Source organism: Homo sapiens, chromosome 10 (genome assembly GCF_000001405.40).
Source record: "Homo sapiens chromosome 10, GRCh38.p14 Primary Assembly".
NCBI lineage: Eukaryota > Metazoa > Chordata > Mammalia > Primates > Hominidae > Homo > Homo sapiens.
Genome location: NC_000010.11, coordinates 111,464,253 through 111,482,115, shown reverse-complemented (window position 1 = coordinate 111,482,115; position 17,863 = coordinate 111,464,253). Strand labels below are relative to the sequence as shown.

The 17,863-nt window shown below is 41.4% G+C and overlaps 1 long non-coding RNA gene across 1 annotated transcript in view; it reads right to left on the bottom strand.

Annotated features, from left to right (window-relative positions):
• Positions 1-201: 201 nt before the first annotated feature.
• Positions 202-17,863, bottom strand: part of LOC105378485 (uncharacterized) — a 47,984-nt gene continuing 30,322 nt past the window's right edge. The window contains exons 5-7 of the long non-coding RNA XR_007062289.1: positions 3,692-3,807; positions 2,009-2,170; positions 202-286 (exon numbers count right to left, since the gene is read on the bottom strand). This is a non-coding gene — a long non-coding RNA (uncharacterized LOC105378485). The remainder of the gene's footprint in view (positions 287-2,008; positions 2,171-3,691; positions 3,808-17,863) is intronic.

The following is a 17,863-nucleotide window of genomic DNA, read 5'->3' as shown; positions in this document are numbered from 1 at the left end:
AACTGTTCCCAGCTAGGAGGGGAGGCTGAGACCAAACCAGCATTGACCTTCCAGCACACCCATATGTGCACTGGTCACCAACTTTCTAGAATGAGGCTGCAATGATTGTAATTGGCCCCTTCCCTTGGGAGGCATCTCTAGCAGAGTTACAAAGCAGTGTCTTTTCAGGAGCTCACTGAGTAAGCCACAGACTTTCCCGGTCATTCATTTTTCAACTCACACTTACGGATCAGAGTAAGCAGATCTGAATCCTCCTCATCACTCTGTTTTCCAAGTGGAGCTCTCACTGGAATTAAAGAAGCTGTAATTAAAGTACCTTGTTTGGGAATGCTGCAATTAGTCACCAATTCAACATGCTATCAAATGTAATTCAAATATAAACACCCAGGCTGCAGGTGCCAATCCCCTGATGAGTTCTAGGAGACAGTGAGCCCTGCCTGCCTTCTTCATATGAACCTGTCGCCCCTGGGTGACTCACCTGGTGAGGTAGATACTGGCTCTGACCTGATCTATGGGAGTAAGCCCCAAGGCAGCCTGTCTTCCCAGTTATTTCTAAGCTTTGGGAGTTGGACTCCATAAGGAAAATGGCTGTGCTTTTGTCAGGAGTAGGCCGAGGTGGCCTTCCAGGGGCAGCATGACTCAGCGGGTTTGGAGCACAGGCCCACAACCCCACACATTATGTAACCACACCACATGAGGTACATTAACCACTCACGTAAGCTCGTGCTTGGCTCAGAGCCACTATTGTCTGTAAAAGGCATAACTACCCTGCTCATGCTGTACATACAGCTTGCTACCAGAGAGAGAATAAAGTCATGTCAAAACTGCCTCAAGTGTTTTTCCAGCTATCCACCACTTGCCTACCCACTCCCCTCAAACCTCAACTTGGGCTGGAAACTGATATTTGGCATGACAGACTTCCAAGGAGTTGATTTTGTCTCATTGCCACATAGAGAAGCTTAGGGTAAAGACAGCTTCTTCAATCTATATTTCAAAGGGAATAATGTGGCTTCATGATTAAACATAAGCTTTGAGGCTATATTTTCATTATTTCAGTCGCTAAAAATGCTGGGGCACTGAAATCTCAACTGGCTTGGTTGCAGCGTTGCCTCCCAGTCTGGCATCTGGCTTCAGCCCCTTCTGATCTGTTCTCCACGCATATCTTTTTTAAAATACAAATCAGATCAGGTTACAGTCCTGGTCAAAGCCCTCCACTAGCCCTCACTCCACTTGGAATCAAGTCCAGGCCTTTTGCTTTGGCCTCATTGCCCCAATGCCCTGCTCCTGCACATCCACCCTCTCACTGTGGAGCCCCAGGGCCTTTGAATTCGCTGTTGACTCTGCCAAAAGACTTCCTCCATAGATCTTAGCATGGATGGAAGCTTCTCGATTCTCGACTCTTCAGAGAAGCCTTTCCTGACTTAACATACCCAGCCTCTTCCCAGGCATTCCTTATCACACCAGTCTTTTAAATTTTCTATCCCATCAGTGTCTGATAGTTTCTTATTTAATTCTTTAGTCTTTCTACTTTCGCTGAGAATGCAAACTCCTTAAAAGGGATTCTTTGTCTTTGTCCCCCACTTCCTGAAGCAGAGCCTGGCACATAATAGAAAATATATTGGTGGGGTGAACGAAGCAATCTTCATAACAATTATTTATAAAATAAGGATGAACCTGCCTGAGCAGGGTAAGGTGAGTTGTGTGGCATGGCTGGTATGGAGCAGAGCCTCAATTCAAACCTGTCTTTACTACTCTAAAGTAGATCCTTTTTCCACCCTCACTGTCTTCTGTTTTGTTTCTTTCCCTTCCTCTGTTCCCAGCAGCTAATACAATGTTGTCTGAACATTTCATCTTTACGTTAAATGCTGGCGCATGACCTCAAGTCTCTGCCTCTTCTATCTGAACTGACTCATGGCTCACACTTTAAATGTCTGCATTCCAGCCTCCACTGCTTTTCTGAATCACTAGGAAACACTTATTCAAAGTAGACCCAGCCAACATATTTTACCTTTTATCAAGAGGTGCTCATCAAGTATCCTACATTTCTGTCCATTGTGCCTGCAGAAAAGCAGCATCCACCACTCTGCAGATCAGAACATGGAGGGGAAGTGTTTCTCCTTGAGGAAGATTCAACCAAGCTTGCTATCTTGGGGCTGGTGGGCCAAGCTTTCTGGAATGGAGGCAACACAACAGCTTCAAAATCCCAGACTGAGGCTTGGGGGCAGAACAGGAAAGAGGGTGAGGTGAGTTAGTGTGGGCACCTGGTGCCAGTTGCAGAGAGCTCATAAAGCAGGAGGCAGGGTTGGGGGAGGGGGGAACATCCACACCTGTACTCACCTTTTTAAAGAAAAAATGAGCAATATTGAACTGGGAGTCCAAGCACTTCCCTTTGAACACTTGTCTATTATTTGCTTGCTGCAGAGCCTCGGGCAAGCCCCCTAACTTCCCTGACTCTCAGAATCCTCATCTCCTGTGGATCAAGGTCAGCACCCCATCCCTGCTTACCTCAGGGCTTCCATGAAGACCATTCCAGATGATCAGTGGGAATGGAATCTGTGCAAGATATTATTGTGGTTCTTACATTAAGAGATGCCACATTTTGCAATCAAATCCACAGTATAAAGATGTGGCAGGGAGAGTCAAGATAGGTAAAAATAAGCATACTTTTATAATTTTAAATTATATACTTTTTAATTATAAAAATAAGGAGTTGGCTTCCCATCTCACCACCTATGCCTTTTCATTACTCAGCTACCAGCCCCAACACTCTGTACTAAGGGCCTTGGGCCCCCATGTTCTGCCCCATCCATTCTGCAAACTTCTCTCAAACTCTCCACTAGACCCAAATTTGGCCAAGAACAATACTGCTGCTGGCAGGAGGAGCTCTCCTTGGGCTCCTGAAGTCAGAACCTGTGGTCCCTGAAAGAAAAAAAATCCAGCCCTGGCCCCCTTCCAATGTAAAAACATTAAAAGAAGTCACATTAAGAAACAAGGTTTACCCTGAGAAGTATGCCCAGTCCAGGGCACTGTCCTCCATAACTGAAAAGCAAATCCATCATGTAAGACCAAGGATGAGCCTCTGAAAGCAAATGGAAAAGCGCTTGTGGGGGTGACAAATTCCATCACCATAGGAGGTGGGCTAATGATGTACATAATCCAGCCTCATATCTGCATCATGTTCTCGGCCCCATATGTCCTAAAGTCATTTGGTTGAGAAAAGGAAGGGGATTGCATTATTCATGGGTATAAGACTATTCATAGTACTATTCCTGCCACTGACTAAAATATTTACACCTCCATGGGGAGGTCTGAGCAGCTAGCCTTCTGGCACACCCACGTGAGTTTGTCAAGCCATTTGAAGAATTGGCATCCTCAAGGGAGACAATACCATATTCAGGGAAGATATTCAGCATCTCTACAAAGGGGTCACCCAGCTGAGAGCTGGTGAAGCACATTGTGTCCAGTTCAACATACCTTTTTTGAGCCCCTGCTAGATGTGGGCTATATGCCAAGAGTAAGCTCTTGCAGATCTAAGGGCAAGTCATAGTTCTGTTGCTTATTGCCATGGGATAATACATGACTTAATCTTTCCAAGTCTGAGTTTCTTCATCTGCTAAATGAGGATAACAGCAAAGCCTATGTCACCCAGAAAAAAGAAAAACACAAAAACAAAAAACTGGAGTTCACTCACCTGGCAAGTAACAAAAGACTCTCCACGAGAACACAGGTTTTCATCAATCATCAGTAAGAGTTTTATTACTTGGTGCAAGTGAGAACCCTGGGAGTATTTTCCAAAGCAGCATTTCCCTGAGGGAAAATGGCAGGAGGGTTTAATGGAGTGATGGATAGGAGAGAGGGCACATTGTTGCATGTAGAGAAGGGGTCCCAGTGATGCAGAGGCAGTGAGTCATTCTGCCAGCACATAGGTTGTATGTTATGGTAGTGAAGCTGTGGCTCCTCCTGGAGTGGAAACTTCAGCATGGTCATGAGGAATGTTCACTTGGGCTCATCTATAAATTGCCAGGATCTGTCAGGAGCTGGTTCCAACTAACAAGGTGACCGCATTCCACATGGAGTTTGGGGAAAAACAGGCTGAAGGGCAGGAGGCTGTAAAACAGGCTGATTGTTCAAGTTGATTAAATTCCTATAATCGTTGGAGACCCTCCTTGTCTGCTTATACCTGATTCATCAAACTTAGATAGTGTTCCAATAAAAATGCATATAAAAGTGATTGTAAGTAAAAAGTGCTATTCAAATGTTATCATCAGGGAGGACAGGAAGTGTATATAGAGAGGGGAGAGTACAGTGTCTTCCTCAGCTGGCTGAAATAGCAGTACATCTCAAGATACTTCCTTGATTTCGGTAAAATGGAATGCTTCCAATGGTGGACTTACATGACAGGCAACAGTGGTTAGAGCACAAACTTTGGAGCCAGACTGACTGGCTACTTCTGACCTTGGATAAGTTACTTACCGTGTCTGTGCCTCAGTTTTTCTATCTGCCAAATGGGGAGAATAGCAGAATCTATCTCCCAGGACTATTGCGAAGATTAAATACATTAATATATGTTAAGTACCTAGAACAGTGCCTGACCCAAGCAAACACTATGCAAATACTTAGTATCTGTTTCTATCACATAGACCTTCAAAAAGCACATTGTTCCCTGCCTGAAAGCGTCTTAGAACAGAAGCCTTCCCTGACCACTGTATTTTATGTTGCCCTTACCCATTACCCACTACTTGGGTTATCAGGTAAAATATGGGATGCTCAGTTAAATTTGAATTTCACGTAAACAAGGAATTACTTTTCAGCACAAGTATATCTCATGCAGTATTTGGGACATACACTAAAAAGGAAATAATTCCTTGTTTATTTGAAATTCAAACTTAACTGGGTATCTGGGATTTTTATTTGCTAAATCATGCAACTCTACCACCCTATTATCCTGTCAATAATTTCAGGCCACAAAAAAGTGCTATAAAACTGCCATTTTATTTTTTATTTATTTTATTTTATTTATTTGTAGAGACAGGGTTATGCCATGTTGTCCAGACTGGTCTCAAACTCCTGAACTCAAGTGATCCACCCACCTCGGCCTCCCAAAGTGTGGCAGGCCAGGTCTCACTAATGTAGGCCTTCGTAACAACTGTTTCAGCACTGACTGAGTGGTTAAGATAAATATTAAAAGCTGATAGAGTCAGTGCCCTCATACAAAGGCTGGAATGTAACAAAAGCCCGCCAAAAGTTTTGCCTAGGCCTTTCTTGGGCCTTGAAGCATGACAAGATAAAGAAGGAATTCTTAATAGGACCAGCTTAGGATTAAACAAGTTTTACTGGGGGTCTGAAGAAACTCACCAGGCCTCCGCAAACAAGTTTAGTGGGGATCTGAAGGAACTCCCCAAACCTCCATGATTTAGCAGGGACAAAAGATAAGGCTAATCACCCTAGCACCGGGACCCACTTAGATTAAGTAAATTTACTGAGGCTCCAGAGGAAGGTCTTCAGGACTCAGATCTTATAGATTAAAAGAAGTTAATCACTTACGTCTTTAGATGAACGCACGCTGACACGTAGACATATAGCTTAGAAGGTATATAAGCTCTGCAAAACTTCGTAATTTTGAGCTGGTTGGGTGATATTTTCCAAGCCTTCTCTCTGTAACCAGTTTCAGAAATAAAAACTCCCTCCTTTCCCAGTTCATCTGCACCTTGTTACTGGGCCATGAGAATAAGCAGCTCCACCCTCCATTTGGTCTGGGAACAAAAGTGCTAGGATTAAAGGTGTGAGTTACTGCACCTGGCAAAACTGCCATTTTAAATTTATCAGAAAGTCCTCCTCATTAGAATGTAAGCACCATGAGAGCAGGAATCTTGTCTATCTTATCTCTAGCTATTTTCCCAGAGCCCAGCAGACTACCTGGCCCATGAGAGGAGCTCAGCATAAAGGTGTTTTTATAAAGACTGCAGAAGTTGACTGGAAGCAGAGCAAAAGAGAGGCCCCTGGCTGCCTTCTCTAACTTCTTGCTCTTCTGGTCTCTCTCTCCAATGCTATTTTCAGGTATTGTTCTAGTCCACATACCCAGGTCTGAGACACTTCCTGTTTGCAGTCTGAGGGACCCCAACCCTTCTCAGAGCTTGGCCTTCATTCCCAGAGTGGCGGCCTTGGCATGGGGTTATGAAATGTGCCATAGTTTTCCCTTTGAACTGTGAACAATCAATTCTCTGCATTCCAATTCTGTCGCAATCCTGGGCTCCTCCACAGACCACAAGAAATGGACTTGCCTTATGCTAATGGCATTTCATTTATCATTATGGAGTCGAATGAGGAGAGACCATTAAGCTGAGCGTGATGTTTTATTAGTGTGTTTTTCTGAGGTCTGTGACTCTGCATAACAGAATGAATAAAAATGACCTAAATTTTACTTTATGAGACATTTTCAGGCTGCACTAGCTCAGCTGCCCAAGCCTTTGGTAAAAGGCGTGAGGCTTCAAGTCTTCCTTTTTAAAGTATTAGTACAGGTATGGCTTTCGCTCAATTTAATTTGATGTTTTACATTTGGTACAGCTCCAGTTTCCCATAAAATGAAGATCTCTCGATTCTTCGTGATTTTTAGTTTAAGACAAGGTAGACTTTAGGGGCGTATGAACCAGAATGCCTACCCTGTGCCTGAAATTGGCAACACTTGCCACAGTTTTAAAAACCATGTTTCCAGGTGTGGCTGAAATTGTTCACAGTCCTTTCTGATTTGGAGTGTCCATATTTGCTTTGTCTGATGTACTGCATTTAAAAAGAAATGGCTCTTTGCTTTGGAATTGAGTTTTAAATTGAATGGGTGGTTACGGAAGCAGCACTGTTACATGAAAACACCAGCTTTGGGACTGGCCGGGGGGTGGGCGGGCAGTGAGAGGAGAACGCGCTGTCTTTCCTCCTAGATTTGTTACAAGGACTTAATTATCTATGTAACAGTTAGCTGCTTTGCTCCTATAAAATAATTTTTACAAGAAGCAAATAAAAAAGAGGGAAAATAAAATAAATGGGCTTCCCCAAGTGCAGATGGATGATTTCTGCAAGTCTCTTCAAAGAGGACAGCTGATAACGAACTGTGTCCCAAGCCTCCTCTCGCTGGAAACAGGAGGGAATTCTGTGGCTTACACGCAACCATATGTTGAGGATATGAATATTGCTTCGCACATTCTAGCAGTTTCAAAATGCATGAGGGCTTTTTTCCCTTTAAGAATCAATAACTCATCAAGAAAAAAGAAAGCTATATGCACAAAAATGTTAATTAACAACATTATCAATACTAGCAAGAAGAAATTACAAGCAAGCTCTATGTGCAACATTCTGGAAATTAAGTAAATTATGGTGCATGGACGATGATGAAGATAATGCATTCAATGAAATGATAATTAGAAAGATTTTGTAGGTACGTAGAAAATATTTAAGCTAAAGTGCCAAATGAGAGAAAAATGACCAAATTATATGTGCATTGTGATTGCAACTGTATCAGTATAACTGTGTAGATGGGCACAGGCTGGAAGAGGAAAATAAAAAATGATAATACATAATAGTTGTATAGAATTCGTTGGATTAATTGTAATTAATCACTATTTTTAAAAATTATTTTTGAAAAGGTAAAAACATTTTTTAAATAATGGCTTGAAAACAAATGGCAGAAATGTGCATTTAAACATTTAACGTGCAGTTTAAATGTTTGAATCTAGAGACTAGGCATCATCAGTTCATCCTGGAGCTTGTTAATAAGGTAATATTCTACTTATAGAAGTGCTTAAATTCTCCAAATACTTACTTAGAAGGATGAAATTCAAACTATCTAGGGAGATGCTTCCAAAAAGAAAACAAAGTCATTTAATTTTAGGATGAGGTCTCAAACATACCTGTGGTAAGCTCCTGGTCTTACTGATGGAGGCCCAGAAGGATTGGAGACTTGGTCAGGCGCTAGGACTAGAAGGGAGCAGTCCTGATGCAGGACAGACCTAGTGTGTAAGTCACCAAGGGTGACTGGGAAGGTGGATGACCACGAGGCTCCCTCCCTGGGTTTCTACAGCCCACTGAAAAGCCCAGCAAGGGCCAGAGCTCAGTCCTGCTCAGCCCTCAGTCAGCACAAGACACAAAGTGCACAGCTGGGCCCAGCGGTCCAGCTTTGGAAGGATAGGGCTGGACAATGTTCTGTTGCCCTTCCTATGTTTGCAAATGGTCTTTTCCCTGCCTAAGGCTCTACTGGTCCTTGACCCACAGCTGAATCCTTGGAGTCAGCACACTCTGCTCTGTTCCTAGAATGCTTTCCTTCTTTTGCTTTAACAAAGTGCTGTCCTCACGTGGACCACTGGTGGAACAGACACGCACTTCTCTTGGGTCAGCCATGCTTTGCTCTCAGGGAGTTCTCACTCCAGTCCTGCTGGCCATACTGCATTTTCCACAGGCAAAACCCAAAGAACAGAGTAGTCTTGATTCAAGGTGCTGTGCTTTGCTCCCTGGCAGGCCAGCTGACACCTGGCTCTGAGTCACGGCCTAGAACCTCCAGGGCTTAGAAGGTGCAGGTCCTCACTTGCCTTTCTGCCCAGCTCTGGAGTACAGATGTCCTTTCTGGCCAGGTGCGGTGGCTCATGCCTGTAATCCTAACAATTTAGGAAGCCAAGGTTGGAGGATTGCTTGAGCCCAGGAGTTCAAGACTAGCCTAGGCAACATAGTTTTTTAGTGAGACCCTGTCTCTACAAAAATGTTTTAACACATTAGTGAGACATGGTTGTGCACACCTGTAGTTCTAGCTACTTAGGAGGCTGAGGTGGGATGATCGTGTGAGCCTAGAAGTTTGAGATTGCAGTAAGCTATGATCTCACCACTGCACTCCAGCCTGGGAAACAGAGCAAGACTCTGTGTCTCTAAAAAAAAAAAAAAGAAAAAAATTTCCTTTCCATGCCTTGTCCTTTGTGGTCCTTGGCCTTTGGAACGCGATAAAACACTCTCAGATGGAAGTTCAGGTTAACTGAATGCTTTTCATTACAGCTAAAACAGGAGGAGGCAACACTATAACTTATCTGCTCTGTTACTTGGTCAAGTTACTTAACCTCTAAACCTCAGTGTTCATATTTGTAAAAAAAAAAAAAAAAAAAAAAAAAGGGATCATAACAGTAGCCACCTCACTAGATTCCTATGAACATTTGATGAGAGAGAATACATTAAACATGCAGGGCAGTTCCTGGCCCACAGGAAACATATGCTGTGATTTGCTATTATTTTTTATCCTAATTTTCTTCTCTGTAAAACAGGAGTTTTAACACGTCTTCACTGCCACTATAATGGTGGTCACCATCTCTAGATGGTGAGGAAACACCATCTTCCTGTCTCTAGAAGTCAACAACCTCACACCCTAGAGGTTACTCTCCCAAACATTAGCATCAGATGAGCTGCGGTCCTGAATCTGCCTACCCAAGCGTGGAGCACTGTGGTGATGCAAGGACTTGCTGTCACGGTGTGGTGGCCCCTTTCCCCATGACATGAGCGCTAGAGTCTTTGTCCCGAGGGCAATGGGCACCAGGCAGCTCTTGGCAGCCTCATTACACCTGTGCAAGAGGACCATCATCACCACCTCAGAGACGTGGAGACAGAGGTTAAAGTACAATGTGTTTGTCACTTACCTGGGACCACCAGGCTAATTAGTGGCAGAACTTGGTTTAAAACTAGGTTTGCTCAACTCTAAAACTTATATTCTTAACCAGAATTTTGTAACTGCTTTTTGCTCTCAGTCAAAAAAATCAATTCAACCATACATTACATAAAAGAACATGTCAATATCAACTATACTAAATGTCTACTGAATTCAGGATATATAACACAATTTTTTTTTTAATGTGCGAGGATTTGTTTTTTGTTTTGTCTTATTTGTATTTGCTTCTGATTGACGTCTTTCCTCTTTAATAGAGCATGAGTGCATGTGGCTGTGGCTGGGCGGAGGTGGGATAAGGTGGAAGGTATATTCCAGATCACAGAAGGCCCAGTTGTTTAGACTTTTTGTGACTAATGATTGATGTAGACTCTTTAATCAAGATTTCAGGCTGGATGCAGTGGCTCACACCTGTAATCCCAGCTCTTTGCAAGGCCAAGGCAGGAGGATAGCTTGAGGCTAGGAGTTCAAGACCAGCCTGTACAATATAATGAGACCCTGTCTCTACAAAAAAATAAAATAAAAATTATTAAAAACAAATCAGGGGCGAGGATGAGAGGCGGTTGTGGCTATGTATCTCCTGAGAGGAAGGGTTTGGTATTAAAGAATCCTCTAAGCCTGTTTGATCCAGTTATCTTGCCCTATTGGGTCAGAGACCACCTTGATCTTAAACTTGACTTCCCTTAGGCCTACTACAAGTGAATTGTATCATCTAAGTTGCATTCAGATCCTGTCAATCATGGGTATTCTGGTTTAAACCACTTATTAATGTAAATTTTAAGAATTGGAAAAGAGGAAAATAACATAAGCTTGCATTAGCAGGAGAAAACAATAATAATTTCATCTGCATGTGGGAGTTGTGTCTCAGATTCAATGAACTCTGGAATGAGATGGAAAATATTATAAATATGACTCTGAAAATTGAATAATCAGCTTTACACATGGTTCCAACTGTAATGGATGGAAAGACATAAATAGAATAAAAGGAATATTTGCTCTTAAACTTTTCTGAGACTGCCACCCTAAGAGTGAGCTTATCTCTCCAAACAACTGCTAATTGAACTGTGAAATAAGGGACACAACTTATAAATTTGAAGTTTCAAATTTTAAGTCAAATTAAACAAAATCCAGACACTTTTAAATTTATAGGATTAATCTCCTGTCTTTCCTGCAATAACAAGTAAATTGAATCTGCACAATCATGTTCAGTGTACAATTTTCAACTGTGTAATTATTGTTTAAAGATACATGTCTTCAATTTCTTCTGTTCCCTTTTGAAACTCAAATCCATTTCAAATCTTTTGTTAATCAGCAATTTAGTTATCAGAGAATGGTTTCTTACTGTTAGTAATTAATTCTTATATTTACAGAAAAGAAATAATGAAATACAATCTCATCCAAAAAGAACATTCTAAAACATTCCACTGAGTGCAAACACATGACCCTGCAGTGTCACAGTTTCTTCTAGTGACACCACAAAAACTTCCTGAGCTATTTTACAAAGAACTGAAAAGAAAGTCTGATTCCTCTGAATGATCTGTCCCTTTTAGATGTGACAGTTGAGGTAATATTAAGCAACTCAATAGCAATTGTGAAAGTCAATATGCAGTATTACAAGTTTATTACTTGATATTTTGCATTAGATCTTGACAGTACGACATGCATTTTCTTCTTAGGCAGCAAATACCTGCAGGACAAGGGTGCTTTCTGCACATTTGATATAGTTATAGATGTAGCAGTTTACTAAAGTAGAAAATGAATATTAGCTAATTAGCCATCAAACATGGAGGGGGCACCTTCTGACCATGTGACAGGTACTCTGTCAAGAACTGCAGAAAATGCAAATCTGAATGAGATCAGGCCCATTCTCATTAGTGTTCAGCCTGGTCAGAGAAATAAGAGAATAAAGATTCTGATAAGCAAAGAGAGGGCAGGGGAATTCCAGTGATGGGCAGTAGGGTGGCAGGGGCAGAGATGGGGGCAGGACATAGGCTTGGGGGGAGGAAATGCAAAGCATGTTTAGGAAAAAGGAAGAATATATAGCATAATAATGATCATTATCATAATATTTATTATATGCCAAGCACAATGCTATATGTTTTACTTGCAATATGTCATGTAGGTGGCCACCTCATCCCAGTTTGCATGGGACTTTTCTGTTTTACCACTGAAAGCTGTTTCAGTAGCTCAGAATGCCTCTCAGTCCTGGACGAATGGGGATGGTTGGTCACCCCACATGCACTCCTTGCAAAATGACCTTATGAGATCTATTCTGTAATACTATCACCCTTATCTTAAAGAAGAGGGGATGGAAGGTCAGAGCGTCAAAGAGCTTATCCAAGATTGCATGGTTGCTAACACGTGGGAGCTGAGAGTGAAAGAGAGAGCTCTTACCTACTAGTATCAGAGATGAATCCTGATTCTAGAGTGTCTGCAAGGCAGAGTCCCAGTTAGCAAGATTTTTTTTTTTTAAAGAAAGTTGGTACAAAAATCATAGTGCAATAAAAATTCAAGGATTTCTCCTGTGGACATTGGGGAGTTATTGAAGATTTCTGAATAGAAGGACAATGTGGAAGCTTTCCTAATTTAGGATTGATGGCACCAATGCGGTTAGCACAAACCAATGGTTTCTCCAATCATTCTTCCTGTCTCTAGAAGTCTACAACCTCACACCCTAGAGATTACTCTCCCAAACCATTAGCAAACTAGAGAAAGCATTTTGAAGGTCAAAGAAATGTGCTCCTATTCCCAATCCATTTCAAGATTTTTTCCCTATTCATGTTAGTACTTTTCCTATGTTTCTGTCTATAGCAGAAACTAGAAATACTTGAAAGGTTATAAACAGCTTTGCTTAAGCATACTTCTTTTACAGTCTATCATGCCTCAAATCTCATTTCCTTCAGGAAATAACACGTAGAAGAGGTGCTGGTTCTAGACTTCCCTCTAAGAGACGGGAGCAGAAGCAGAGCAAATCACTGTTGAATGGCACGATTTAGACTGTGTTTGTGTGTGCGCATCTTTTGTCATCTTACCAATTTCCTGTTTGTCTGCTTATTTTCTTTTACCACTTTTTATTTTGAGCTGTTATGTGGTTTATTTAGTGGTGGGGAGAATAAGGATCCAAACAGCCTATCTGTTAAGAGGTATGCCATTTGAGGTCACCATAATTCCATAGTCTAGTGCAAGATGGCCAAGTGAAGTCTCTTGAGAGTGAAGGTGGTAATTTTCATCAAGTACATTTCCCTGTCTGATTCAAGGGGACACATAATGCAGAAACCTGAAGCAGTGAGTCTTTGTGCTGAGAACATTAATTTAATTCCAATCTATAATGCTCCTGCCGAGTCACAAGGCCCATATATTCCCAATCTCCGCTTGTTTGAAATTGAAATCATTCCCTTTGCAAAAACAAACCATCCTTCTCCATGAGTCCCATTACATGGCCAGAACTCCTTTCTGGGAGATTATTTGATGACAAATTATATCAAGAAATTAAACAGAAACCCCATTAGTAATGGTGACAATATTCCACACACACATGAAATATTTAATGAAAATCTAGAGCTAGGGTGTTGAATTTGCACACAAAGAACCTATGTAAGATGCATTTTCTCTGAATGCAAATGCAAATTTTCTTTTCTAAAGACCTTTGCAAGTACGCAAGAGCTGTCTGCTTTTAGTCACAGGGAAACATCCATTTAGTAATCTCCTACCTCCATTGATTCCACCCATAATGAGATATCCAGAGGTATAGTAGAAGTCCAGAAACATTCAAAATATGGAAGCAGAAAGATGAAACCAGCTCAAATGGCTAGTACTATCTGCTAAGGAGTCAGACATATGAATGGCCAAAAGAACCCTTAGTCTTTAAAGGATGAGTGGAGCTGGTCAAATTAAAAATGGGTTTCTGCTAGATCCTAGTATAAGCAGCTGAAAGAATTAGTAAAAATAGTAACAGTTCATGCTTCTGCTTGGGGCACATCTCACCCTCTATCTTTAAGTCAGTTGGACCCTTCCATACAGGTAAACAGAACAATACAGCATAGTGGTATTGTTGTTTACCACTGTATATTAAAATCATCTATGGACTTTAAAAATGTCCTGATTATAGCAGACCAATTAAATCAACATTGTGTTATGGGAGAACACAGATATCTATATATCTCTTAAGTGCCTGCAGTCAGGGTCCTGTTGGGATATAGAAACCAGAAACAGAGAATTTAATTAGTCTTACCAGTTATTGAGGAATGCAGAAAGCAGCTACTACCTCTAACGCTGAGAGAAACAAAGGAAGAAATTAGGGCTATCGAAACTTAGCAGCTGGAAGGAAGAGCCCTGCAGAACTGAGACCGTGGCCTCTGGGGTGTGCTGCCAACTGTTACTGGTGTCTGAGCTCAGGGGAGGAACCCCCTGGAGCTGGATGGGACCTGACTTCTGAGAAGAAGGCACTGGCTGGCTAGTGCTTATATCTCGGAAACAACTGCTTCTGGGATTGTGGCAAACCTGCAAATTAAAATCAACTGCTGCTACTGGGACCAAAGATTGAAGAACCACTGCTAAGGTGACAGTAAAAACAAAGAAAGCAAACAGAATGAGAAAAATCCCTTCTCCCTACTCCATCCTTTCAGTCTCTTCTAGCACCCGCTAATGGCAGAGCTGGTAAAGAAGAAATGCTGTTGGCAGAATCCCAGCCCGGGCATTACAGAGCAGAACATAGGAGGTAGGTCTAAAGTAAGAAACAAGCATTTAATAACGAGCATTAGTCCCCTAGGTGATTATGTTGTGTAGGCAGGGTTGAGAACCACTGCCTATGGAAAGCTACAATTCAGGACTCTTCTCAGGTATTTCTGGTTGTTTATGCTTTGTCCAAGTTCCCCAGACTTGGTTCAGTTTTCCCATTATTGGCCTGCTCTTTCAAGCTCTGTATTTGCTTTTGGTCTCTTGACTTTTGGGTTCCCACAGTTATGGCTTACATCTGGCCCATGGGCTCCTCAGCTTTAAAGAATTTACTCTCATTGGCCCCACAGGACCCAAGCCTAGGCAATTCGAGTAGAGGGGTTGGACTTTGATGTCCACGGAGTTTGTTTTGGCTCATAATTCCAAGGACCATATTTCCCTGGGACCGCCCAGCTCTGGTGGTCACTTACAAATCTGTGCTGATGACCAGTCCCAACAGTGGTCTGCTGCCCTTGGCTTTGCTGAGAACCCAAATAGGAAAAATCTATTATCCTGTGAGGTGTGGCTAAAATGAAAACATCAGCTTTCATGCCTCTGTTTTTGTTCTTTGGAGAGCCTGACTGGGTTATTTTCTTAGCTGTAGACTTCATCACTTAAAACACCCAACCAGTTAGATCAGAAGAGAAATAAAGCTAATCCTTTTTATCTGGAAGATCTCCCACATATAATGAGATACTCTAAATCCTCATTCAGATCACTTCAATGGATATCGGTAGGCTCTAATGTTCATTTAACAAATATATATTGAGCTCCTCCTAGGATCTGGGCAATGTCCTAGGCACTAGAGGAACAGCAATGCACAAAGCAAAGTAATTGCTCTCATGGAGGTCATATTCTACTTAAGGAAAGAGACAATAATAAATAAGCAAACCTATAATATACCAGATGTAGTTGGGTAGTTCAAGATAATAAATTCCCATGAAGTTGTCAAGCTGTTAGCTAGGATAATAGTCTCATCTGAAGGCTCATCTGGGGCTGGAGGATCTGCTCCCAAGTTAACTCATGTGGATCACAAGGCTTTGTTTCTAAACCATGTGGACCTCTCCAGAGAGCTCCTCATGACTTGGCAGCTGGGTTCCCCCAGAGTGAGTGATCCAAGAGAAAGTGATCAAGATGGGAGCCACAGTATTATTTCTAACCTAAGCTTGGAAGTGACATACCATTGCTTCTGTCGTATTCTATTGGTCACAATGGATCAAATGTGAAAGGGGACAACATGGCAGCGTAAATACCAGGGTTTGGGGATCACTGGGACTGTCTCAGCTGCCCTACATGGTAATAAGTGCTATGGAGGAAACAAAACAGGGTGAAGAGATAGGGAGGGCAGAGGTTTGGGGTGACTATTGCTCTTGATACAGATGGTCACAGAGGACTTCACTCAGGCACAAAACAGAGGCCTGAAGAAAGTGAGGGAGTAGCTTCAAGGCTTTCCTTTTAAAGGATTCCACCTAGGGGTTAGCTTTTGTGGGAAATCATCCCTCAGCTCCACTAAGAACCCATCACTCATCAGCCTCACTAAGAACCCCTACTATGCTCTCCCAGAGCATCTACACTTACTCTCTGAAAGCTGTCATCACACTGCCACATCTTCTTTCTTCCTTCGACGTTAGAGGGTGAGTTCTTCAGTGTCATGGAAAATGTTTGATTCACCTTTGTATCCTCAGTAAAAGGTCAGTAATTTTAGATGAGTGAATGAAATAATTAACTTACCTTCTCTGCAGTCTTTTTTAGGAACTTAGAACAAATTACTGTTTAACAATTTGTTAAATTAAGTATTAGTTTTGTCTAAAGCAAAAACTGTAGATATAGATTTATATGGCCACTTTAAACACATAAATCTACTCTTGTGCCCTGTCAGTGGCATTGCCTACAGATACTGTTAGTTTATGAAGTACCAAATGGAACAAAAATATGTGGCAACTTATTGAACAAAAATGTTTTGTGAGAAAAATATTTTTGTTCCCATGCAGCAACGTTTCTATTAAATTGTTTCTAAATATGTAAAAAGAAAAAAAACTCAGAGTGGCAACAGAATACCCTGAGGAGTCTAAAAAGCACGAAAACAGCAATATTATTTTGATAATGAAGAACAGATATGAATGATATTATTTCTTCATACTCTATTTTGGGAGGAGCTGATTTTTTTTTAAATATATGTCCCTTGCACAAAAAATCAAATGCTGTGACTCCCCCACAGCCCTAGGACAGAGGCAACAGTTTACACAAAAGGACAGTCGGCCATACAGAAATATGTCTCCCATATGTTTGGGAATTAACTCATCAGTCAAAGCATCAGCTACCTCTCTCCTTGTGACTCCAGAAGCATTTAATATAGTATTACTCCCAAAATTCACCCTGAGTACTTAAAGTACCAAAGCCATGGAAACTGTAATGTGCATACCAATCACCTGGGTATTCGTTCAATGCAAATTTTGGTTCAGAATCTGGGGTGGGGCCTAAAAGTCAGCATTTCTAACAAATTTCTGGGAGATTTGTGAGAGCTGGTCCTCATATTACATATTGAGTAGGAAGGTATTTAAATAGCATTCAGAGTCCAAAATCTGCCTGCCTACATTTATAGGTGACTTGAAATTTCTTTCTTCTTTTTATTTAATCAGCCTAATGAGGAAACCTATAATAATCAAGAAACAAATTTATCATATTAATTTGAAAAGTTGTTAAACCATTTATTCTTCCACAAGACAGTGTAGATTTCAGATTTGAAAATCAGCATGTTCAGCCATACATTTTTATTTGAACAAGTGCAGTTGCTAAGAAATCTACAATGTAGATTCCAAACTTAATTAAATCTTACTTCTTACCACATCTAATGTGCTGTGTTTCAAGCATTTCCAAATTGAAAGTGAGCAAAACAAAGTCATTAAAACTAAAATTTAAAAGTTATATTAATCATCCTGTATAAAATTCCAAGTGGACACCTTCCTCCTGCACTCCAGTTACACAGGAGGAACAGAGGAATTTCACCCATGATTTATTTTATTAAATTTTCTTTAATGTTACATTGACCTATTTCTCAAAGGAGGGCACAGACTCTGCAGGGTTATTTACTCTTTGGCTTTTGTATATGCAACTTGTCTTATTGAGATAGGCAAATATAGAATCATATTGATGAGGTTGTTGGCTTTCATTATTTCAAAAACCTAGCAAAGTACAAAAATCTATCAGAATTAATCAACTTATTACATCTGAAGCAGCTTGTTACATCTAGCTTGTTACATCAAAAGCGGTTGACCCTCATGCCTCACCCCCTACCCCAACCTCAGACTCCAGCTCCACTGTCAGAACTCTTGCCCAGATCTAACTGGGAAGGTTGCACTGGTGCCCAAAAGATCTTTGAGACCCATTTCCTGGGTCTCTGCAGCAGCGGAACCCAGCGTGGTGTTCTCCCATCAGCCAGCAAGCTGCAGGCTGTGAATCATTTCA